The sequence below is a fragment of the Homo sapiens genome, chromosome 1 (assembly GCF_000001405.40).
Source record: "Homo sapiens chromosome 1, GRCh38.p14 Primary Assembly".
NCBI lineage: Eukaryota > Metazoa > Chordata > Mammalia > Primates > Hominidae > Homo > Homo sapiens.
The window spans coordinates 31,019,950-31,046,157 of NC_000001.11; the positions used below are offsets into that span (position 1 = coordinate 31,019,950).

A 26,208-nucleotide genomic window follows, 5' to 3' on the forward strand; every position below is an offset into this window, starting at 1 on the left:
TTACATGGCTATAATATATTGTGTGATGCTGAGATTTGGGCTTCAACTGAACCTGTCACCCAAATAGTGAACATAGTTACCCAATAAGTAGTTTTTCAACCCTTGCCTCCCTCCTTCCCTTTCCCTTTTTGGAGTCCTCAGGGTCTACTGTTCCCTTCTTTATGTCTATGTGTACCCAATGTTTAGTTCCCACTTACAAGTGAGAACATGTGGTATTTGGATTTCTGTTCCAGTGATTAATTCACTTAGGATAATGGACTCCAGCTGCACCCATGTTGCTGCAAAGGACATAATTTCATTCTTTTTTTATGGGTGTAGGTGTACCACATGTTCCTTATCCAATTCACTGTTGCTGGGCACCTAAGTTGATTCCACGTCTGTGCTATTGTGAATAGTGCTGCAATAAACATGCAAGCGCAAGTGTCTTTTTGGTATAACAATTTATTTTGACTACATGGTTTGATCTATAGCATAACCACATTCATTTTATAATAGGTATTCACTTTAATAATTACATATTACAGTACTTGTGAGCCCAGTATACAAAAGATAAGCTCCAGACCCCTCAGGATACTGTAAAGTTCACAAATACAATGATGAAAACATCTAGATTGCTTCATGACCCCCTCACACCCCCAAAGCAGGAAGCAAACAGCCCGACTGAGATAACAAAGAATACTCCACATCAAGATGGGACCAAATACTCTAATAAACCCACACCCAGTTAGCCTCAGGGAATTTTAAATTTTTGATCTGAAAAAGACAAGGATCTCAACCCTGAGTTCCCCTTTTCCTTCATTATAGGAAACAAATATTTCATAGATATGCCTGCTATGTATATAGGGAATACAACACAGAAAATAAACTTTTGCTACATGCTTCACCTCAATGAGAACCACATCATGCACCAATTAATCAAAATACAATGGATTTGCTTTGATGTTATGGTTCCTTATTAGCAAGGTTACAGTAACCAAGAAGGAATTACACACAACATAGTTTAATACCAGCTTGAGAAAGCAATGGAACAAAAGTAATTCTATTTTTCTAAACATCATTATGTCTGGTTACTGTATATATAATGAGGATATATTTCCATGCTCCAACAGATGGCCCAGAGAAAGTACCATCGATCTGTAACAACGTAACAACTATATTAAACAAAAGATCCTTTATTTAAAAATGCCTTTATATATCGGATTCAATTTGGGTAACAGCACTGCTGATTTATTGTTTGTCTTCTATATTTTTGCAAAAGTAGCTAATGAATAGCTTTTAAATGTACATATTTGCAGACAGCCTGAATATATGCTTTCAGTTTTGTCTGTTCTTTATTCTCTCCCTGTACACTCCAACATCCCTGAGAGCAGAAAAGTCATGTGAACAGAAAATACAACCAATATTTACTAAATTGAACTGAGCTCCCTTGGGGGATAGACAAGGATACCAATTTCTGATGTAAAAGGAAAAATAAAGAGGAAACTATGCTTAGGAAAAAATATTTACTGATATGATTCTTTCAATACAATATATTTAGCAGCTATTGTTTACAAAGCACATTATTAGCTGAAGCCCCACCCTCAACAAACTTTTGTATGAGAAAAAAGAAAACATCACCATATATACACAAATCATTATGTATAAAACAAACTGGGCCATGATTGTTGAAACAGTACTTTAGAGTCCAGCATGCAAAAGATAAAGCCCAGACCATCTGGGTATCATCTGGGGCTTTGATAAGCCACAGATCATCATTTGTATCATCTTTGTAAGAATACTACAAATCACTTGCTACTTGAATTCCCCTTCACAGCTTCTAATGGGAGGGAGCAAAAAAGCTTTAATAGGGGAGCTGATATCTGAAGCTAAATCTTGAATAAGTAGACTGTGAATATGCAGAAACCAACCAGAAAAACTCAGGATTTGAGTTATAAGAGATCTGGGTTCAAACAGAGGCTTAATGATTACATTAACTTCTCTAATCCTTGTTCACCCCATCTAAAAAAAAAAGGCATCATAATATTGCAGGACCACCCTAAAAACTGTAACATACATGAGGTGATTAGCATAGTTCTGGGAAAATTGTATACACTCAATATTTTGTAGCTATTATTACTTCCGAGCCTAGAAAAAAAAAAAAAACAGAATTTGAAGATAATCCCCATCTTGACACTTAAGAATTTAGCTGGAGTCATTTAATCTTAGGGCTCATTCTGCTCATCTAAAAAAAAATGGGAATAATACCTCTCAAAAACCTACTGGGAGATTCATATCGATAATGATATCATATAGATCATTATATTGAAAAGTGTTACCATTTATTAGTCTTCCCTCCAATAAAGCATGCTAGTATGGATAAAAGAGTAACATTTTAGCCAAAGGAGGTTGATGAAAGGGAAGAAATTTAATGAAGACAAAGTAAGCAGCATGTGGATCTTCTGCTGCAAGAGTATGATTTGCTGCATTCAAACATTCCAAGACAGCTTAACATCTACATACAGTAGTATGTTCCTGGTCTTCCCAGTGCAGGTTAGAAGACAGACAGAAGAATGGGTGGGGTTTGCACATTGGTCTCAAAGTCAGGACAGACCTGGGAACTACGTTCCAAATCAGTTATGACCACATTTCCTGGGTTAGAAAACACCTTCTCCTATCTCGTTCCTCAAAGTGCCCAATCCCAATCCCAAAATTATTATTTTGGGTCCCAGGAACTTCCTCAAACAATACTGATAAAAAGGTCACTTTACCTCTAACAGTCATTAACCTAAAATAAGCCATCTACCAAGATCTTGTTCCTCCAGACCACTTGGCGTGGTTAGCTGTTTTTTCTAAAATAAACATTTCAAGAACAAGATGTCAAAAAAATACCCAAAAAACATAAAGTTAAGGGAACTAGGGTGTTTTTACTATTCCTATTGTACGTGAAAGCTACATTTTGGCTGGGCGCAGTGGGTCACGCCTGCAATCCCAGCGCTTTGGGAGGCAGAGGCAGGTGGATCACTGGAAGTCACGAGTTTGAGACCAGCCTGGCCAACATAGTGAAACCCTGTCTCTATTAAAAAAAAATACAACAAATTAGCTGGGAATGGTGGCACACACCTGTAGTCCCAGCTACTTGGGAGGCTGAGGCAGGAGAATTGCTTGAACCCAGGAGGTTGAGGTTGCAGTGAGCTGAGATCGCACCACTGCACTCCAGCGTGGGTGACAGAGTGAAACTCCATCTCAAAAAAAAAAAAGGCTACATTTTGAGGAAAAAGGGGAATTAATTACACTGCTTGGTCACATATTTTTATATTAATATACCTCAAGGCATTATTAATTTTTCATCCCTTCAGCAAGAAAGTCTATATGATTTTGCTGGCAGACATCTTTCCAAAACTCAGTCCATTTTGGAGTCAACTGTGCTGCTTTTATGGCACCCTAATTGCAAAGAACTGCCAGTGTTAATTTAAGGTAGCCCTCCCAGAGCTGTGGATTCTAGAAGTACTTTTAGCTATTCAAAAGCCTCCAATTCTATTAAGACACTGTTTGCCATAATAGAAAGATGTGGGAAAAAAATTTAACAGATTTAGTCTCCATACTGGAGTCAGGCTAATACTTGCCTTGACTCCAGTATTACCATCCCACGAACTCTGATGGACACTTCAGTGTCTTGGGCAGCTGCAGACAGTGAATAAGTCACTTTAAAGAACCCAACGAAGCCAGGCGCGGTGGCTCATGCCTGTAATTCCAGCACTTTGGGAAGCCAAGGTGGATGGATCACGAAGTCAAGAGATAGAGACCATCCTGGCCAACATGGTGAAACCCCGTCTACTAAAAATACAAAAATTAGCTGGGTGTGTGGTGGTGCACATCTGTACTCCCAGCCACTCAAGAGGCTGAAGCAGGAGAATCGCTTGAACCCGGGAGGCGGAATTTGCAGTGAGCCAAGATCGCGCCACACTTCAGCCTGGTGACAGAGCGAGACTCTGTCTCAAAAAAAAAAAAAAAAAAACCCCAATGAAAAGTTACAAAATCTCTAAATCACAGGGGGGAAAGTCAATCTAAAAGGATATCTTTTAGACACTCTCTACTATATCCTAAAAAGGCCAGAACAATTCCTCTTTTCTATCTTTTTAAAGAGAGAAAGAAGGGCAAGCTCCCAGAATCTTAGACCTGAAAAGGTCCTAGGAAACTATCTAGTCCAACATCTTTGTCTTACGGGTAGAAAAAAGTAAGTGCAAAGAAGATGAATGTTTGAACCTAGGCTCTAAGAAGTTGTGGCGTCAGAGTTCTGGCCCAATCCAATGCTACCTCTATCCCACCAAATTTTGCCTTTCTTTGGATTAACAGCTCACCCAAATCACTATCCAATTCCTCCCTCTATAAGCCACTCTGCTATCCCACACCTATGGATCAAGTACTATATAATGTCTAATGAGAATATAAAGCTACAATTTAAATATATCTCAGGTTATCCTAATTCCTGTGAATAAGGTAGGATTTGTTATCACTCTGTATATAGGAGCACTTTCTAGATTTCCTTTGTCAGGTTTACAAACTTGTTATAATCAAGGGTATGTTTTTCTATGCTTCAGCTTTCTAAGACAAAGGTGAAGAGTCACATATCTAAATACAATCCATTTGTTGTAGAAATAAGCTAGTATTCACTACTATTTTAACTTCCCTGGAAGTTGTCAAGTTCACTACACATAAAACATTAAAGAATCTTAAGGGAAAAAAAGGTCCTTGATTTTTAAAAGTTAAAAAACCAATTATGCGAACAAAGTACCTTTCTGTCAACCTCTCAAAGTACTTTCCAACTACAGCTTCTTTTTTAAAAATCCATCCTTTTCTAGGTCATGAACAGTAACAATGCTGCCAACCTAAAGGTGGAGCAAACAGGTTATGCAAGATCATAAACCAAACCAATTTAGAAATAGAGCCCAGAAGCCCAAGGTCAGTGAGCCTTCCTCTCTACTACAAACATCCTTTTCTAGAATCATCGATTAGCAGACTGATCTCTTCATATATAAATAAAAGCTGCTAAAGTATGTGCCTTTAAACTTCTCAGGGCTTTAAGCCAAATGAAAGGGGCTAACAAGGAAAGTAGACAAAATTTTTAAATAATTTGTGGCCTTGATCCTAAGATCTTTTCCTATCTTCTTTTTTATATTAGCTTTGTAGAATAGGAAGCACATAAAGCACTTGTACTATGAGTCCTTCAGCTAAGAACAGCTTGGAGAGTGATATTTTTAAGTAGTCACCTCTTAGCAAGATTTCTTCTAAGAAATACTCTAAACCTTTCAAAGTGACACCAAGAGGCCAACAGTGGCTTTGAAGAAAAAAACGTAACAAGAGTCAACCAGCACTAATTTTCAACTACTAGAAATCAATTACTTTGAATGGAACCAATTCTATTTGAATTCTAAAGACTCCATACATTCTTTACATAACTAGCATTTACCCTAATGACTCACACAGATGCACACGCGCATAGGTGCCCACACATCCACAAAGAAACCAAATAACTCAAACGAAGATATGGTGCCTAGCTTAAAAGTCATGCAATTTACTTCTAGTGTTTATATGGGTAAATACTGGTTTGTTTTTTGTCTTTTTTTTTTTTTTTTTTTTTTTTGAGACGGAGTCTCACTCACTCTGTTGCCCAGGCTGGAGTACAGTGGCACTATCTGGGCTCAGTACAACCTCCACCACCTGGGTTCAAGTGATTCTCCTGCCTCAGTCTCCCAAGTAGCTGGGACTACAGGCGCACACCATCACGCCCAGCTAATTTTTGTATTTTTAGTAGAGATGGGATTTCACTATGTTGACCAGGCTGGTCTCAAACTCCTGACCTCAGGTGATCTGCCCACCTCGGCCTCCCAAAGTGCTGGCATTCCAGGCGTGAGCCACCACGCCCGGCCAGTAAATACTGTATTTATACACACTCCCTCTCAGAGATGTTTTATTGCTAAAAAGGAAGAAAATTTAATGAAGTTAATTAGAAGCTGTTCTTTTTTATTATAAAAGCTTATCTTCCACCGGGCACGGTAGCTCAAGCCTGTAATCCTAGCACTTTGGGAGGCCAAGGCAGGCGACTGCCTGAGCTCAGAAGTTCAAGACCAGCCTGGGCAACACAGTGAAACCCTGTTTCTACTAAAATACAAAAATAAAATTAGCCGGGCACGGCGGCATGCACCTGTAGTCCAAGCTACTCAGGAGGCTAAGGCAGGAGAACTGCTTGAACCCAGGAGGCGGAGGTTACAGTGAGCCGAGATTGTGCCACTTCACTCTAGCCTGGGTGACAGAGTGAGACTCAGTCTCTTAAAAAAAAAAAAAAGAAAAGGAAAAAAAAGCTTATTTTCATTTTTTCTTTTGTGCTGTTCTCCCGTTGCTGCAAAAAAAATTCTCTTAATCTGTACCTATCCAAAGCCTAACTAAACTAGAAGATGCTTTTTAAGGAATATCTCTCCTCCTCCATTAAAGTCTAACTAGTCCTGTCAATAATGATCCTGCCTTCTCTGAACTCCAACCATACATAGAAAAAAATTTACTCTTTCTGTTTATATGTATATTCATTGTTTCCTTAACTAGCTAAAGAAAGAACTCCTTGAATACAGAAACCTCACTCCACACTTAGGAAATGTTTTACCTCTCAATTATTTTACAAACATTAACTTCATTTACCCTAATTAAGGGCACATGCCTTGCAGTGGGAGGAAGCCAGGGAAGAATCCTATCACTTACTAGATGTGTTACCTTTGGCAAATTATTTCATCTCTCTTGGCCTTTTTCCTTATCCGGATAATAGAACTGTCCTCATAGAGTTATTAATCAGATAATGCATAAAAGCCCCTTAGCATCTACCTATGATTGATAAATGGTAGTTGTTACTGTTACTTGTGAATAGTGGGGAAAGGAAGAAGAATGACACAGCATTACTGATGGAATATACTGTTTTGTTATTAACATATGCCTATATTCATGCCCACGGAATTATATACATATACCACAAAAAAAAAAAAAAAAAGGCGTTTCTGGAAGAAGAAAAAAATGATAAAAAAAGAATTTAACACTGTCAACTTGTCATTTAAATAAACTTTACCCTCTACTGAAATTGTTTGCTATTCAATTAAAATTAAGCATTCAGTGATTATAAACTGTTGCTCACAAAACAATAATAGGGCATTATTCTTATCTTGTATCATTAATTTTTTAAAAATAAAAACAGGCTGGACACAGTGGCTCATGCCTGTAATCTCAACACTTTGGGAGGCCAAGGCAGAAGGATCACTTGAGCCCAAGATTAGTCTGGACAACATAGTGAGACTCTGTCTCTATTTTTATAAAAAATTCAAAAAAGAAAGAAAAACACCTGGAATTGGATTTTTGGTGGAATACACCAGCTTAGAATTATAGGAGTAAGAAAGACAATACATATAGTTTCTCTTTCTATACTTAATATCCAACAAATATGTTAACTTTCTGTTCAAATCTGCTCCAAAAACTTAGTGACAAAGTCTTTTAGACTTTCTAAACCATACAGGGTTTATTGATTTGCATTGTGTCAGTGACATTAGGCAGGCACAGGAAACACAAGGACATCTCCCAATCATCTCCTAAAGCTCTAGGAGGAAAACAGACCAAAAATGCATGAACTCAAGATGATAGGACACTGGACTCTGTGGCCACAAGAAGATTCAGAAAGTTGGAAACAAAATCTTGTAACAAAGAAAGCAAGGATCTCAGTTTAAACATCAACAATTTTTAACTGTTCACTGCCTAACCACAAAGGCAATCAAGGAATATTTGCTTCAAACTCAGAAGAGTAATTATCCTAATTTTGACCTCAGAACCTAGCACAGTGCCTGGGGATCAAACATTTGCTGAATCAAAGAACAAATGTATCTAATAAATGGTATAAATGAGGACCCTAGAATAAAGTAATTCTCCCTCTTGTGAAATATTAAAATCGATGTAGGAGCTATCAAATATTAGATACACAAAAAATGAAATGGAAGAGAAAACCTAACGTCACTTTCCAGAACAAGAGAGCCACAACAAATGTCACTTGTGGGCCTGTGGTATTTTAAGTAGTTAATTCAAACTGTATATTCTACCTTTGTCATCAATACATGCTTATTGTCACAGCTACAATAGCCAGCAGTTGGCTACATGTTAGATATCTATACTCCCCTTCCTTTTTAAGACTTACAGCAACCCTCTCTATTGATGTAATGGATAAAAGTAAATTTTGTTTCTGCAAATTTTAAACATTACAGTCAAAGCAAAATTCTTATTTCTGAATTTCCTGTAATGGATGACTGGCTCAGCTCTCTACCTTCTGTAATTCCTCCACTAGAAACCTAACAACTTCCCTTTCACAATGGAGCTCTAAACAACTTCCTCAAAAAAAGGCACTACTCTAAAAATAGGTTACTGACATTTTCTGATTAGCAGCCAATCTAAGACTCCCTTTGCCATTGGCGGGGGGGGTGGGTTGGGGGAAAACCTAGCCACTGGAAAATGAAGTAAAGGTTGGCCTTTTATTTAATGCATATAAAATTAAAATACTTCTTAAACTTAAAATGTCTCAATTTATAGCTGACATTAATATTCAATAATTTGTGCTCACATTTTGGCTACTTTGTTTTGCTTTTAAGACATTAGGTTATGGTTAACATTCTTCTTTTAATGACATAGTTTTGGCAAAATTCTCCAGCATCCCGTTCCTATCATGAGAATGGCAACAAGGAAAAGCAAGCACATATTTCTGGAGACTAGATTTGGACACATTTGATGAAAGACAACTCCAACCTTCCCTTAAAAACAGACCCACTTTTCTGACACACCAGTTCACTTACCTCTCCCATCGCTCTTCCCTCCAGAGCAAGTGCTTGAAAATCATGATTCAGTTCATCCATGGAACGCACCTATTGTTTAGAATAGAGAAGGAAAAATCTTCAAGTCAGCATCTTGAATTTTACATACACATTACACACAATTGAAAATTTATTCTATGTTTACTTTCAGACATTGGCAAAGACAATAGCAATGATCAAGTGACTAAGAGATTAAACATTCACTTACCTTTAACCATCAGGGTTCAGCAATGACCCCTACTTTCTCCCCTCCCATTCCCTTATATTTTCAAAACATGAAAAACACAAAATCCAAATGAATGAAAAAGCAAATTCCATCATGAGAATTATGTTAGCTATTTCTCATACTTTTTAATTTAATAAGACCAACATTCTGAAGAGCAATGATGCCTTCAAGATGACTATGTGACCTAATGAGTCAAAAGATCATGGCTCCTCCCCAGTTGTGAACAGTTAAGTTAAATTAGGGAGTGCATTTGATTCAATCCACTATTTCTCTTTGGTAAACCTCAGGAAAGGGGGATGCAAACCCTATAATGAAGTATCCCAATATCTCTCCATATTGGGAGATCCCTGGGGGCTCCCCAAACCTAACCAGGGGGAGAAAATAACATGTCACAAGAATCCCTCCAAACCTTACTAATTGTTAAATGTAATCCTACCTACAGCATAACAATCTCTTTAGGCTTCAATTTACCTATCTATCTCCAAAGCCATTCCTACAAGGTAATAACATCAAGGATGATGTGTGAAATAGATTATTCAAAACAGTTATAATTCAACTAGTTTACTGGTCTTCTTTGTTATGAGCAGCAAGCATGTCTCTGCTGTCTGAGGCTAGAGTCACCACCTACCCCTGGGCAAGGGATTCAAGAGTACATTCCTTTGTTTATTAAAGACGTAGGCTCCCAGCCTGGGGAACATGGCAAAATTCCCCTCTCTACAAAAAATATAAAAATTAGTTGGGCTGTGGTGGCACACACCCAGATACTCAGCAGGGTGAGGTGGGAGGATCACGTAAGCCCAGGAGCTAGAGGCTGCAGTGAGCCGTGATCGCACCACTGGACTCCAATCTAGGTAACAGAGGGAGATCCTTTTTCAAAAAAAAAAAAAAAAAAAAGGCTGGGCGCAGTGGCTCAAGCCTGTAACCCCAGCACTTTGGGAGGGCGAGGCAGGAGGATCACTTGAGATCAGGAGTTCGAGACCAGCCTGGCCAACATGGTGAAACCCTGTTATCTACTAAAAATACAAAAATTAGCCGGGCGTGGTGGCAGGCGCCTATAATCTCAGGAGGTTGAGGTGGGAGAATCACTTGAACCCGGGAGGCAGAGGTTGCGGTGAGCCAAGATCGCGCCATTGCACTCCAGCCTGGGTGACAGAGCGAGATTCTGTCTCAAAAAAAAACAAAACAAAAAAAAGATGTAGGCTTTGCTCTTCTGCCTACATGAAAAACAATGTTGACTACCTGAAGCAGGAGTCTCTCAAACTCCCTCCTCTGATCTCCACTACCTTCCAATGTCTGTTTACAATTTCTACCACTGGATAAACGTATTGAGGGTCAAGTTAGGGCCAAGCAATGGAGAAAAGAGTATGGAGAACATGAGCCAGAATACAATTAAGAGAATCAGTTTAAGAATTTTATTTGAGGCAAGATCACTAAAGCCCAGGAGTTCAAGACCAGCCTGGGCAATGTAGTAGAGTACCCTGTCTCTACAAACAAAAATTTAAAAAATAAAAATAAAAATAAAATAGCTGGGCACGGTGATGCACGCCTATGGTCCCAGCTACTCCGGAGGCTGAGGTGGGAAGATAGCCTGCACCCGGGCAGTCGAGGCTGCAGTCAGCAGAAATCACGCCACTACACTCTAGCCTGGGTGAGAGTGAGACAGTGTCCGGAAAAAAAAAAAAGGATTTAATAACATGCTGCCTAGCTGCCTATACATTATATCACCTAAGAATCTTAACTGTCAGAACTAACACTGCAAAAAGATACAGTTGCATTATTGTTTTCAGTCACATATTTTAAAAACGCACAGCCAATACTATGCTACAAATGAGACACACCGTATCACTAAGATACAAAAGATTGGGAATGCTCACTAAAAATTGAAATTTATAAAACTCAAAGTAAGAGTAAAGTTCAGTTAGTTACATGAGCACAAAGAGACAGACAAGGCTTATAATACTGTGGTGTTTTAAAAAGGCCCTGAAATAGGAGCTATGATCATTTTACATGGTGTTTAGATTATTAGATGAGCACAATAAATAGACTCATAAACTGTATATAATAAAAATAAAGGAGGGTAGGGAGGATGAAGACAGGATGTTAGCTAGGAACTCTACACGTTATATGAAATGATAAACCTTTAGGCCAGCATTAACATTGACAAAGCATGTAAATCAAATGCACAAAGCTCTGTATCTAGCTCTTTCTGTGGAATCTAATTATACATTTAAATAGAGCTAGACATTTCTTGGAAATCCAAAAACCTACAAATACAGTTTCAACCAGAAATATTAAAAATTCTATTTATATGTCCCAAGGAAACTAAGTAGGAGGAGTAAGAAAAAAAGTATGCACTGTGTATATTTATGTAGCCATCACAACAACCTCACAGTGATTATTCCCATTTTAGAGATTAGGAAACTGATCCTCCAAGAAATGCCTTCTCCAACCATTGTTAGGTAGGGAAAAGCATAGGAGGAAACTAAGGCTCAGAGCACTTACATGGCACTGCCAGGATCTTAATCCAAGTCTTCCCATTTAAAGTTCAAGGCCCTTTCTGTACCACCAAGCTGCCCCCTGGCAGTCAAAGGAAGTTTCCACCTCCAATATTCTATTATTTTACTACATAAAACTGCTGTCAGTTTCTGCTGTGGGCTTCGATGAATGTGCTCTCTTGGTCTTGCCTTTGCTTTTCACTATCTCTTCCCCTACCTTCAAAACTTGCTCATCCTGCCCTTGTAGCATTTTCCATTCCTTTCTACACTATCTTCCTGCCACCATTCTCTTTCACCATCTATTTACACTCTTTTGGATATGCGCACTCTCGCTCCCTGCCTCCCCTGGCCCTCTCTCTCTCTCTCTCTCTCTGGTTTCTTCTCTCCCTCTCTTTTTCTCTCTACTCACCCTCCCCACCTCCCTCTTTCAGGGTATCTCCCGCTGCCTCATTTATATAAGAACCACACTCTTTCCCTATCCCTGTATACCACCCTCCTGCCCTACCTCTTACAGTCAATTGTTGAGAAAGGAGGCTCAACTTCTAAGAGTTTTGCTAGTGCAGAAACTACATTTTAAACCAGTCACCCACGTTGACTACATGAGATAAACCAAGTCATTCTCTCACAAAAGTTTTTAACTATTTGGGAACTTATTTATTCATACTGGGAGCTGTATTTTGTACAGTCACTGCCACAGGGCAGACTCTCCAGACAAAATTCTTCCTAGGAAACAAAACTAATACTCAGAAAAAGATGCTCAAGAATCAAGAGAAATCAAAAAATGAAGGCACTGTAAGAAATATTTGTAAGAAATATTTTAGAAGGGAGAAGTATTTTCCATGATAAAGGAGAAAAGCTAGCTGTCAATTATAATCAGAGTAAATGCTCCCATCAAGGTAGAATAAGCCTTTCAAGTTCCTTCTACACTTCCCTTTTCTCTAGCAATCTATTTGAGTCTCAGGTTAATGTTTTGTTTTGTTTTTTGAGACTCCTGCTCTGTTGCCCAGGCTGGAGTGCAGTGGCGTGATCTTTTTTTTAAAAAAAAAAAAAAAGGTTTTTAATCAAATAGATAAACCTGGAACTACATTACCACATTTTGGAAAATGAAAAATTAAAAGTATCACTTTACAAATCTTTTGGCATGTGCCTGTAGTCCCAGCTACTCATGAGGCTAAAGCAGGAGGACTGCTTGAGCCTCGGAGATGGAGGCTGCAATGAGCCAAGGTAACACCACTACACTCCAGCCTGGGCCATAGAGGGAGACCCTGTTTCAAAAATAAAATAAAGTGGGCCAGGCGTGGTGACTCACACCTGTAATCCTAGCACTTTGGGAGGCTAAGGCGGGCAGATCACCTGAGGTCAGGAGTTCAAGACCAGCCTGGCCAACATGGCAAAACTCCGTCTCTACTAAAAATACAAAAATTAGCTGGGCGTGATGGCGCATGCCTGTAGTCTCAGCCACTCGGGAGGCCGAGGCAGGAGAATCGCTTGAATCCTGTCTCTAAAAAAAAATACAAAAAAAGAAAAAAAAAAACGTTATTTTCCTTGACTACAGTGTAGGCTGGCAGAAATAAAAGGTGGAAATCTAAATACAGGGCTAGGAAGAGAATTAGGAGACCATATTGGTTATCGAGCCAAAAAATAAAGGAAGTTTAGAAGACGACCTTACTGATTTTTCCTTTTTTTTTTTGAGATGGAGTCTGGCTGTTGCCCAGGCTGGAGTGCAGTGGTGCGATCTCACCTCACTGCAACCTCCACCTTCCAGGCTCAAGTGATCCTCCCATCTCAGCCTCCTGAGCAGCTGAGACTATAGGTATGTGCCACCACATCCAGCTAATTTTCTTTTTTTTTTTTTTTTTTTTTTTTTTTGAGACGGAGTCTCGCTCTGTCGCCCAGGCCGGACTGCGGACTGCAGTGGCGCAATCTCGGCTCACTGCAAGCTCTGCTTCCCGGGTTCACGCCATTCTCCTGCCTCAGCCTCCCGAGTATCCAGCTAATTTTCATATTTTTTGAAGAAGACGAGGTTTTACCATGTTGCCCAGGCAGGTCTCGAAGCCCTAAGCCCAAGTGATCCATCCAGCATGGCCTCCTAAAGTGCTGGGCTTACAGGTGTTAGCCACCACGCCCAGCCCATTTTATTTTTTTGAGACAGGGTCTGGCTCTGTTACCTAGGCTGGAATGCAGTGGCGCAATCACAGCTCACTACAGCCTCAAACTCCCACCTCAGCCTCTCGAGTAGCCAGGACTAGAGACACACACCACCACACCCAGCTAATTGTTTTTAATTTTTTTGTAGAGACAAGGTTTCACTATGTCATCTAGGCTGGTTTTGAATTCCTGACCTCAAGCAATCCTCCCGCCTTCTAAAGTGCTGGGATTACAGGTATTAGCCACCGCACCCAGCCATGGAAAATAAATTCAAACAGACTTGGGCACAAAGGAATTCTGAATTGTAAGAAGTTAATGATCCAAATAGAAATTCAATTATTTGAATAATTACAATTTATCCATTTTTCAAGCAGGTATTATTGAACATTGAATCTTAAAAAGCAGAATAAAGCAAACATTATGTTAAACCATGCATTCTGGAATAAAATCACTAAAAACGACACAGGTTTTGCTAGCATTCTGGTTCAGTTCTTGTACTTGCTTTACTGGCATTCTTGTCCTGAACTGCTCAGTGTGTCTTTACAATGAACGTCCCTTTACTGGAGCCGATTTGACTAGTTGTCTGTTGCCTGATTAGAGAAACCAAACTCAGTTACAACAGAGTATCACTGAGTTGGGGAGTTCATTAAATCACACTGAAAATTTCCATATTAAAACAAATGTACAGGCTCACACCTGCAATCACAGAACTTTGGGAGGCTGAGGTGGACAGTTTCACTCGAGGTCAGCAGTTCAAGACCAGCATGGCCAACACGGTGAAATCCCGTCTCTACCAAAAATACAAAAATTACCCAGGTGTGGTGGCTAATTGACGTATAAGCAAAAGGTAGCAGTCAACATAGAGAAAAGAAATGTGCTGAAAGAAGCAGAGACAAGGGACTACAGTGCCCTTTAAAAAAACAGAAAGCCTCCAAGTATTCAGGAAGCCCACATATATATTTCTTGCTCTGAGGTTCAGAGAGTCCTTAGTGTTCTTTCACTAAATCCCCTGAATTTTTGTTAACTAGAGTAGATTTCCATACTTTTAACTGCCTTTGCTAGATTATTTCCTCATAAAGATAGGCTCTTCATCTCCACACCTACTTTTGTTCTCAAGGATTTTTTGCATACAGAAACCTAGATCATGATGGTTCCATTTCACTAAAAGAGATCAGAACAATATAATCAGAATCGTTGATGCCAGGAACCATTATGGAAAGGAAATACCAGTGAGAAAATGGCAGGCAAAGAGGAGAAACTTGAGCAATGAGAAAAGGAAAGAGAATATAAGAATTAATCTAATTTGAATTTAATCAACAAAGGGAAAAAAACCTAGTAAATCTGTTCTACAGCATCTTCTGCACACGATATATCTGTATTAATAACAACTATTACTAAGACTTACTTTGTGTCTGGTCCTGATCCCATAAATACTTTATACACTTTATCATCTCTTTTAATAGTCATAACTACACAGGAGGCTGAGGTAAGTGGGTCCCTTGAGCCTGCGACCAGCCTGGGCAACATGAGAAAAATCCTGTCTCTATTAAAAATATGAAAATCAGCCAGGCATGATGGCACATGCCTGTAATCCCAGCTACTTGGGAGGCTGAGGCACAAGAATCACTTGAGCCCGAGAGGCGGAGGTTGCAGTGAGCCGAGACTGCACCACTGCACTCCAACCTGGGTGACAAAACAAGTCTGTCTCAAAAGAAAAAAAAAAAAGTCATAACTACCCTGAAAACACAGATAATATTATTCCCATTTTGGAAGCAAAGCAAGAAGTTGGTGGGGCGCAGTGGCTCACACCTATAATCCCAGCACTTTCGGAGGCCGAGGCGGGCGGATCACCTGAGGTCAGGAGGTCGAGACCAGCCTGACCAACATGGAGAAACACCGTCTCTACTAAAAATACAAAATTAGCCGGGCATGGTGGCGTGCACCTGTAATCCCAGCTACTCAGGAGGCTGAGGCAGGAGAATTGCTTGAACCTGGGAGGCAGAGGTTGCAGTGAACCGAGATAGCGCCACTGCACTCCTGCCTGGGCAACGAGAGTGAAACTCCATCTCAAATAAAAAAAAAAAGAAAAGAATAGCAAGAAGTTATTACAGCCCTTAAACAAAATATAGATAAATCATTCTTTCCTAATTACTGGAGGAGAAAAAAACCAAAAAACCTCTTTTGGTATAAATGGCTGCAAAACCTATTGCATGATGTTATGAATGAATGTTCATATCATTTATTAACTGTCAATAACAACAACACTAAACACCAGGCACTGGCACTGCGAAACAGACGTTATTCCATTTTATATACGAGGAAACCAAGGTTTACAGAAATTACTTGTCCAAAATCATGTAACTGATAAAGATCCGAAATAGAATTCAAACTCAAGTTTGTTTTTTTTTTTTTAGTCTCACTCTGTTGCCCAGGCTGAAGTGCAGTGGCACTATCTCGGCTCACTGCAACCCCTGCCTCCCGAGTTCAAGCAATTCTCCTACCTCAGCCTCCCGAGTAGCTGGGACTACGAGTGCGTGCCACTGCACCTGGCTAATTTTTTGTATTTTTTAGTAGAGATGGGGTTTCACCATGTTGGCCAGGCTGGTCTTGAACTCCGACCTCATGATCCGCCTGCCTCGGCCTCCCAAAGTGCTGGGATTACAGGTGTGAGCCACCATGCCCGGCCCAAATTCAGCTCTTTATGCCTTTTACCACTTGTTCCTGTTGTCATCAAAGGCAAGAGCAGACCATACAGGGTGGCTCACACCTCTACATGGCCAGTACTTTCGAGGCCAAGGCAGGAGGATCACTTGAGGCGAGGCCAGGAGTTCAAGATCAGCCTGGGCAGCACAGCAGACTCTCATCTCTACAAAAAATATGTTCAGGCAAACATCCTGCTCCCCAGTCAAGGCACTTGGCTAAAAATGGGATTGGACAGCAGGGGAGGCAGGGATTCGGAGTGCTCTGAGGCCTCGAGCTCTCCACTGGGGAGCAGCTTAGTGTTCTGTTTTGAAGAATGCTATGAAGTTCCTGGCTATACATGAGGACACGTTTAGGTCTTTGGAGCCACACTCAGAGTACACGAAGGGTAGGAAAAACCACACGAGGCAAAGAACTTACATCAAGACCAGGCCTAAAATACATTAATGTGGGTGGTTCAGCACAAGGGCAGTTGTCTGATAGCTATAATGAAGAAGAGTATGACTGTCCCATTTCAGATGAAGATAAGAGTAATTGATGAGTCAGATAACCATATGAGAGAAGGTAAAGATACTGCTGATTACCATGGTTGTGGTTTCTTCCCTGAACACTGGCTTCACATAGTTTTTTGTGCTGAGAACAGATACCAACCAGTGTATTGTACACAAGACTTAAACAAGGGGTTAAGGTCAGAAGAAACTAAAAGACAATACTCAGTGTGAGATTTCTCACTCTTTATGAAGCCACAATATCCTACAAGGAAAAACCAGGCATCAACTATTCAGCAATAAACCAGAAGAGCTAGAAAATAATATAGATCAGATCTTGAAATAAATTGAAAAGTGGATCAAAGATCGTAACACTTGGACCATAAGACTAGCCACTTTACAATCACTCCTGTTGATATTTCTCTGCTGACGTGACAGAAACTGTCCAAGTATCGGTGACGCTTCATTAAAATTATTTTCCAAGACTAGCAGGTGGACAGTGAAAAGGTTTATTAAGTCTGGGTATCTACCTCCCCATGAGAAAGTTAAAGATCTAAAACATAATGAATTTAGGCTGGGTACAATGGCTCATGCCTCCCAGCACTTGGGAGGCCAAGGCGGGCGGATCACTTGAGGTCAGGAGTTTGAGACCAGCCTGGCCAACATGGTGAAACCCTGCCTCTACTAAAAATACAAAAAATTAGCTGGGCGTGGTGGCGGGCACCTGTATTCCCAGCTACTCAGCAGGCTGAGGCAGGATAACTGCTTGAACCAAGGAAGCGGCCAAGATTGCACCACTGCACTCCAGCCCGGGCGACAAAGCACGATTCAGTCTCAAAAAAAGAAAGAAGGAATATAAGATTATTCAGGATTTAAAATAAAAATTGGCATCATTTAGGGCCGGGCGTGGTGGCTCACACCTGTAATCCCAGCACTTTGGGAGGCCAAGGTGGGCAGATCACGAGGTCAGGAGATCATCTGGCTAACACAGTCAGGAGGTCAGCAGACCATCCTGGCTAACACGGTGAAACCCCGTCTCTACTAAAAAATACAAAAAAATTAGCCAGGCGTGGTGGCAGGGGCCTGTAGTCCCAGCTACTTGGGAGGCTGAGGCAGGAGAATGGCGTGAACTCAGGAGGCGGAAGTTGCAGTGAGCCGAGATTTCGCCACTGCACTCCAGCCTCGGAAATAGAGTGAGACTCCATCTCAAAAAAAAAAAAAAACCCTGGCATCATTTAATACTTCAACTGCTAAAGAATAAATAAACATGGCCAAATGGGTGGATACCTTTTATTACAGAAGAAAATGCAGATGATCTTTAAAGCTAAAGGTTAAAAAAAAAAAAGAGAGAGAGAAATATGTTCAGAGGAGAACTATCAGCTACCAGGCATGCCTACAGTGTTAGTCTCCATGAACTGAGGGGGTAGAAATTATTTAAACAAGGGGGAAAAACTTTAACCTGCGATTACTTCTCTAGTTGATTTGCTCTCCCTTTGCGATGGACTAGGCATTGCAGAAATGTAGACTACTGTTCAAAGACCATGGTAGACACTACTTTCTACACTCTCCTTAACATCTGAAGTAACACCCGCCAAGTACCAAACCGCACCTTATTAACAGTGCTATGGTGATTTGTCTTATCTCCCTAAAAATAATCCCTTGAGCGTCTAGCACAGTATCAAAAACATGACAGGCATTACATACAAATATTTGTAATGTGAGAAACTGCCCTTAGTCATACAAGTGGTGAAATAGTACTGCTAGAGCTAGGTTCTTTAAGATGATTCTTATCCTTCTTTAAAACACGCATACAAATACACACAACTTTACCTTGCTTTATTTGACTTTTCTGGACATCTGACAATATGTAATATGGGTTTGATTAATATTCATGCCCTTTGATCTGGTAATTCCACTTCTAGGAATTTAACCTAAGCAAATCATGAGAAATATGGGCACAGATTTGTTAACAAACATCTTTAACCTGGTACTGTAATAGGAAAAGATGGAAACAGTCTAAATACAGCAGTAATTATTAAAGCATATACTTAGAGAATTTATATAGCCATTTAAAATGTTTTAAAATTTTATATATATATATATATATATATATATTTTTTTTTTTTTTTTCCTTTTCTCTTTTTGAGACAATGCCTCATTCTGTCACCCAGGCTGGAATGCAGTGGCACAAATACAGCTCACAGCAGTCCCAACCTGCCAGGTTCAAGCAGTCCTCCCACCTCAGCTGCCTGAGTAGCTGGGACTACACGTGTATGTCACCATGCCTGGCTGACTTTTTAATTTTTTTATAGCAATGAGGTCTCCCTGTTACCCACGCTAACAAAAAAAAAATTTTTTTTTTTTTTGAGGCAGAGTCTGGCTCTGTCACCCAGGCTGGAGTGCAGTGGCACGATCTCAGCTCACTGCAAGCTCCCTCTGCCTCCCGGGTTCGTGCCATTCTCCTGCCTCAGCCTCCCGAGTAGCTGGGACTACAGGCGCCTGATACCACACCCGGCTAATTTTTTTGTATTTTTAGTATAGACAGAGTTTCACTGTGTTAGCCAGGATGGTCTCAATCTCCTGACCTTGTGATCCACCCACCTCAGCCTTCCAAAGTGCTGGGATAACAGGCATGAGCCACTGCACCCAGCCTACCCAGGCTAAAACTTTTTAAACACAGAAAAATGTTATGTATGTGTAAGGATTCTATAACGTAGGCTATAGATGGGTGTATATAAAAAGATGTTAGGCTGGACCCAGTGGCTCACGCCTGTAATCCCAACACTTTGGGAGGTTGAGGCAGGCTAATCACCTGAGGTCAGGAGTTCAAGACCAGCCTGGCTGACATGGTAAAACCCCGTCTCTACTAAAAACACAAAAATTAGCCAGGCATGGTGGCGCACTTGTAATCCCAGCTACCTGGGAGGCTGTGGCAGGATAATCGCTTGAACCCAGGAGGCAGAGGCTGCAGTGAGACAGAAAGCTGAGATGCTGCCACTGTGCTCCAGCCTGGGAGACAGAGCAAGACTCTATCTCACAAGAAATTTAAAAAAACTCATGCTGGGCCCAGTGGCTCACACCTGTAATCCCTGGGCGACAAGAGCGAAACTCCATCTCAAAAATAATAATAATAAATATTAAAAACAAAATACATGAACTGTGTCTTATCATTGAGAATTCTAATTCAGCAGGACTGGACTTAAGCCCAAGAATCTCTTTTTTTTAAAAAATAGAGACAAGGGTCTCACTATGCTGCCACAGCTCTTCTAGAACTCCTAGGCTCATGCGATCCTCCCACATTGGCTTCCCAAAGTGCTGGGATCACAGGCATGAGCCACCATGCCCCGCCAAGAATCTCTTTATTGAAACAGCTTCCTAGCACCGGATGTTAAGGGAAAAAGTAAATATTAAACTCCAATACAGGAAGATAAAGCTTCAATGAGATGTGTATGACATACAATAGTGGCATCAAAGGCAGGCACCCAACCTTGGAGAAAAGTGGGAGTAAAGGAGTACATTTATCAGAGATGAAGATACATTAGTTGAAGCTTGAAAGATGAGGAAAAGGCCAGGTAAATGAAGAAGGTAGGGGATTCCAAAGAGAAAACTACATAAATAAAAATAGCACTAGTATGCTGAGAAACTGCACAAACTATAAAAATAGGATGGGTATTCACAAAACTACAAATACTTTAGTATAGCCGAAATGGAGCGCCAGTAAGGACTGGAGAGGCAAGCTGGACCAAAACACAAAAGACAGCTGGGCATGCGAAGGCATATGCCTGTAGTGCCAGCTACACAAGGGGGAAGGGACTGCTTGAGGCCAGGAGTTCAAGTCCAGCCTGGGCAACAAAGTGAACACCCTCATCTCTAAAACTAATAATAAATTTAAAATAAAAATTTATTTTATCTTTAAAAAAAAAATAACATGAAAGGTCTCCTATGCTATGAGGAGGAGCTTAGAAGTTATCCCAAAAGCAACAGGAAAGAAAACGCACACACACACGAGTGCGTGAGCAAAAGGGTGAGAAATAAGCAGATCGTATCTTCAAAAACATCAATTTGGCAGTGGCACAGACAATGGCTACAAAGAAGAAAACGGGAGATGCAGGAAAGCCAGTGAGAAGACTACTGAACATCTCCAGGCAAGAAACATGAGCCTATCAAATAAAGCAACATAGGTATAATCTCGGAACTATTGTCGGCAGAAACAGGAGGCAGAAATCTAGGATAGCTCCTAACATGCCACAAATGGATATATCAACCACAGAAACAGAATACAGTACAGGAATTGAAGGAAATAATTAAATTCAATTTTGAATAGCATCATGCCATTCACTGAGCACTTATGAAAACTAAACTCCTAGGCTTTTTAAATATTTTTTAACAGATATGGGGGTCTTGGTATGTTGCCCCAGCTGTTCTCCAACTCCTAGACTCAAGTGATCCTCCCACCTTGGCCTCCCAAAGTGCTAGGATTACAGGCATGAGCCATCACGGCCAGTCAAAAAGTAAATTTTTTTTTTAAAGAAAAGCTATCCTCTGGGGGGCGGGGGGTGTGGGGAAAGGATATTATACTTTGATATAGCTTGGATGTTTGTCCCCTCCAAATCTCATCTGAAATGTGACTTCTAAGGTTGGAGGTGAACCTAGTGTGTAGTGTCTGGGTCATGGGGGCCCATCCCTCAGGAAGTACTTGATATCCTCCCCATGGTAATGAGTGAGTTCTCACTCTATTAATTCACACAAGAGCTGGCTGTTTAAAAGTGCCTGGAACCTCTTCTCTCTCCAGCTCCCTCTCTTGACCATGTGACACATGTGCTCCCACTGTGCCTTCTGCCATGAGTAAAAGTGTCCTGAGGCCTCACCAGCAGCAGATGCTGTAACTTACTTCCTGTACAGTCTGCAAAACTGAGACAAATAAACCTCTTTTTGTTATAAATTGCCCAGTCTCCTATATTCCTTTATAGCAACACAAAATGGACTAACATACTTTTTTTAAAAAAAAATGAGAAAGATAAAAATGTGCATACAGTACTGAGTGGCTCAAATCATGTAAAAATATTAGAACACTTCCAGGACAAAGCATATGATTACTCGTTATTAATTCTAGATACAGAAAGGAAATAATACTAAAATAAAATCATCTCTAGGCCAGGCCCAGTGGCTCACGCCTGTAATCCCAGGACTTTGGGAGGCCGAGGCAGGTGGATCATCTAAGGTCAGGAGTTCGAGACCAGCCTGGTCAACATGGTTGGAACCCTGTCTCTACTAAAACTATAAAAATTAGCCAAGCATGGTGGTGCATCCCTGTAATCCCAGCTACTCAGGAGGCTGAGGCATGAGAATCGCTTGAATCCAGGAGGCAGAGGTTGCAGTGAGCCGAGATTGCACCACTGCACTCCAACCTGGGCAACAGAGCGAGACTCTGTATCAAAAATAAATAAATAAATAAATAAATAAATAAAATAAAATAAAATAAAATTGCCTCTAGATCTCATTGAATACACCCAACCTATTTCAGCAACCTATATTCAACATATCTACTAACTTTTTTAAAAATTAAAAGAGAGATAACTAATGCAAAGGACAGCACTTCATCAGGGGAAAAAAGCTAAATAATTTCGATTTCCAAGGTCTTTTCTAACATCTAAACTCCACTGGAAATGTGTAAACCATCTGCTTTCACTCAAAATGGCAGACCAAGCTCTTAACAGATGGTATAAGGTTTGTCTTTTTTTCTTTTTTAACTGTTTGAAATTCAGAAAATACAAAATGGACAAGAGCAAAGCATACTACCTGTAATCTCTCCATGCATACAAATATAAACACTTTGCAGTACTTTCTTCCAGTCCTTAATCCATGTACATCACTTTTAAGGGCTACACTGAACTTAAAGACCATTTTCTTAAAAGACAGGGTCTCGCTCTGTTGCCCAGGCTGGAGTGCAGTAGCACGACGTCGGCTCACTGCAGACTCCACCTCCAAGAGTCAAGCCATTACAGGCATGCACCAGATGATTTTTCTTTTTTTTTCTCAGTAGTGACAGGGTTTCTCCATGTTGGCTAGGCTGGTCTCGAATTCCTGACCTCAGGTGATCCACTTGCCTCATGTGCTGGGATTACAGGCATGAGCCACCACGCCTAGCCAGAAACAATTATCTTTATAATTCCCTCCTCTCTTTATGAAACTAAGTTTCTCCAAAGGAACGACATATTAATTTCATTGTTTTGTATTTTACAAGGCTTCTGACCCTTAAAAGTGGTATCTCCCTAATTTGGGACAACTGGGTGGGGGAAGCAATTTGACTCAATAAACTCTAACAAATTAAAGAACATTTCCTTTTTTTTTGAGACAGTTTCACTCTTGTTGCTCAGGTTGGAGTGCAATGGTGCGATCTCAGCTCACCACAACATCCGCCTCCAGGGTTCAAGTGATTCTCCTGCCTCAGCCACCTGAGAACCTGGGATTATAGGCACCCCCCCATCATGTCCGGCTAATTTTTTTTTTTTTGTATTTTTGTATTTTTGTAGAGATGGGGGTTTCACCATGTTGGTCAGGCTGGTCTTGAACTCCTGACCTCAGGTGATCCACCTGCCTCAGCCTCCCAAATTGCTGGGATTACAGAGAACATTTCTTAATAATTAACACCCAATTTGGTGATTTTAAATACATATAATAACCAAGACTAGGTTAATGAACTGTCCCCTTGTTAAAATTCTTAGGGAACTTGCTTTAATAAAGAAAAATTGTCACCAGCAGATCAATCAACTGCATATTCATTGCATCTAAAGAGTTTACGGAGCTCACTGAAAACACCTGTTCTCTACAGTTTAAGCACTCCTCTTCCCGGGTTTGTAAACAAGTTTATTTACAGTGTTAGCCTCCAAATACTTCCTTCAGAGAGAAAAGAAAGTAGTCATTAGCCCCAGTAAAATGTGTGGCTTGGAAAAATTCCAAATCCATAGTGTAAGTTGTAGATAAACTAATCCTCCCATCCCCCATTTCTAATGAGCACCTGCCCCTAGTGAAGAAATTTGTTATTTTTGTACCTATACATTACAAATTTATATACTCTCAAACCTGAGAAATGAAAGCATGTCTACAGAAAAAAACTTGAACACAAATGTTCATAGCAGCATTATCCATAATAGCCAAAAAAGAAGAAAAAAAGGCCCATCAACTGATAAATGGATAAATTAAATGTGGCAGATCTATACAATGAAATATTATACAAAAATAAAAAGAAGGCCGGGCGCAGTGGCTCACACCTGTAATCCCAGCACTTTGGGAGGCCGAGGCAGGTGGATCACGAGGTCAGGAGATCGAGACCATCCTGGCTAACACTGTGAAACCCCGTCTCAACTAAAAATACAAAAAATTAGCCAGGCGAGGTGGCGGGCGCCTGTAGTCCCAGCTACTCGGGAGGCTGAGGCAAGAGAATGGCGGGAACCCCAGGGGGCGGAGCCTGCAGTGAGCTGAGATCGTGCCACTGCACTCCAGCCTGGGCGACAGCGAGACTCCATCTAAAAAATAAAAAATAAAAATAAATGATGTACTGATAAATGCTACATACAACATAGATGAACCCTTAAAACATTATGCTAAGTAAAAGAAGGCAGTCACAAAACATGCTTCACTTATGTCCAGAATAGGCAAATAAAGAGACAGAAGTGGACTGGTGGTTGCCTAAGACTGGGGAGTGACGGCTGCTGGGTAAAGGATTTTTGGGGTAATGCAAATATTCTAAAATTAATGATTATGATATATGCACAACAATGAATACACTAAAAACTAAAAACTACTGAACTATATATTTTTTTTAAGATGGAGTCTTGCTCTTGTCCCCCAGGCTGGAGTGCAATTGCATGATGTCGGCTCACTGCAAGCTCCGCCTCAGGCTCCAGCCCAGCTAATTTTTATTGTTTTGTTTTGTTTTTTGTTGTTGTTGTTGTTTGAGACAGAGTATAGCTGTGTCACCCAGGCTGGAGTGCAATGGCACGATCTCGGCTTACTGCAACCTCCGCCTCCCGGATTCAAACAACTCTCTTGCCTCAGCCTCCTGAGTACCTGGGATTAAAGGCATGCGCCACCACGCCCAGCTAGTTTTTGTATTTTTAGTAGAGATGTGGTTTCATATGTTGGTCTCGATCTCCTGACCTCGTGATCCACCCGCCTCGGCCTCCCAAAGTGCTGGGATTACAGGAGTGACCCACCGTGCCCAGCTGGAATTATACACTTTAAATGGATAAACTACAAATCTGTAAAGCTGCTTTTTTTTTTTTTGAGACGAAGTCATCACCTAGGCTGGAGTGCAGTGGTGCGATCTCAGTTCACTGTAACCTCCGCCCCGACAGGGTTCAGGCGATTCTCCTGCCTCGGCCTCTTGAGTAGCTGTGATTACAAGCGCCCACCCCCACACCCGGCTAATTTTTTTCTGTATTTTCAGTAGAGACAGGGTTTCACCATGTTGGCCAGGCAGGTCGCGAACTCCTGGCCTCAGACGATCCACCCACCTCAGCCTCCCAAAGTGCTGGGAATTACAGGCTTGAGCCACTGCACTGGCCAAAGCTGCTATTTTAAAAAATCTTTAACAGGCCAGGCATGATGGCTCACACCTGTAATACCAGCACTTTGGGAGGTCAAGGCAGGAGGACTGCTGGAGGCCAGAAGTTCAAGACAAGCCTGGGCAACATGAGACCCCATCTGTACAAGATGATAATATTAATTAATGAATAAAAATGAATTTAAAAATATTTAGGGCCCCCAATTTCCAAAAACCTAGAACAGTTTTCCTGATGAGACTCATAAAAATATTAAGAAAGGTACTTGGACCATAAAAGAGCACTTACTAATGGCAACAGACAAATCCACATCTACTAAATCTAGTAAAACCATTAATAAGCTATCAACAAAAATCAATAGTTCAGGCTGAGCCCACTGGCTCACATCTGTAATCCTGGCACTTTGGGAGGCTGAAGCGGGTGGATCACTTGAGGCCAGGAGTTCAAGACCAGCCTGGTCAACATGGCGAAACCCAGTCTCTACTAAAAATACAAAAATTAGCTGGACGTGGTGGTGCATGCTTGTAATCCCGGCTACTCGGGAGCCTGAGGCAGGAGAATCGCTTGAACCCAGGAGGTGGAGATTGCAGTGAGCCGAGATCGTGCCACTACACTCCAGCCTGGGCAACAGCGTAAGACTCTGTCTCAAAATAATTTAGAAAAAAAAAAGGGCTGGGGGCGGTAGCTCACGCCTGTAATCCCAGCACTTTGGGAGGCCAAGGT

General features: G+C 40.8%; 1 protein-coding gene across 2 annotated transcripts in view, besides 1 other annotated feature; it reads right to left on the reverse strand.

Moving 5' to 3' along the window:
- Window positions 1-26,208, reverse strand: part of PUM1 (pumilio RNA binding family member 1) — a 134,212-nt gene that overhangs the window by 88,444 nt on the left and 19,560 nt on the right. For both annotated transcript variants that reach the window (NM_014676.3, NM_001020658.2), the window contains exon 3: window positions 8,847-8,915. In NM_014676.3, coding sequence (NP_055491.1) covers window positions 8,847-8,915 — 69 coding nt within the window. The remainder of the gene's footprint in view (window positions 1-8,846; window positions 8,916-26,208) is intronic.
- Window positions 14,111-14,612: an enhancer, noted in NCBI's record as "H3K27ac hESC enhancer chr1:31506907-31507408 (GRCh37/hg19 assembly coordinates)". NCBI's record gives its function as "activates a minimal SCP1, AML or CMV promoter by ChIP-STARR-seq in primed H9 embryonic stem cells {active_cell/tissue: H9 hESC(primed)}" and the evidence as "EXISTENCE:reporter gene assay evidence [ECO:0000049][PMID:30033119]".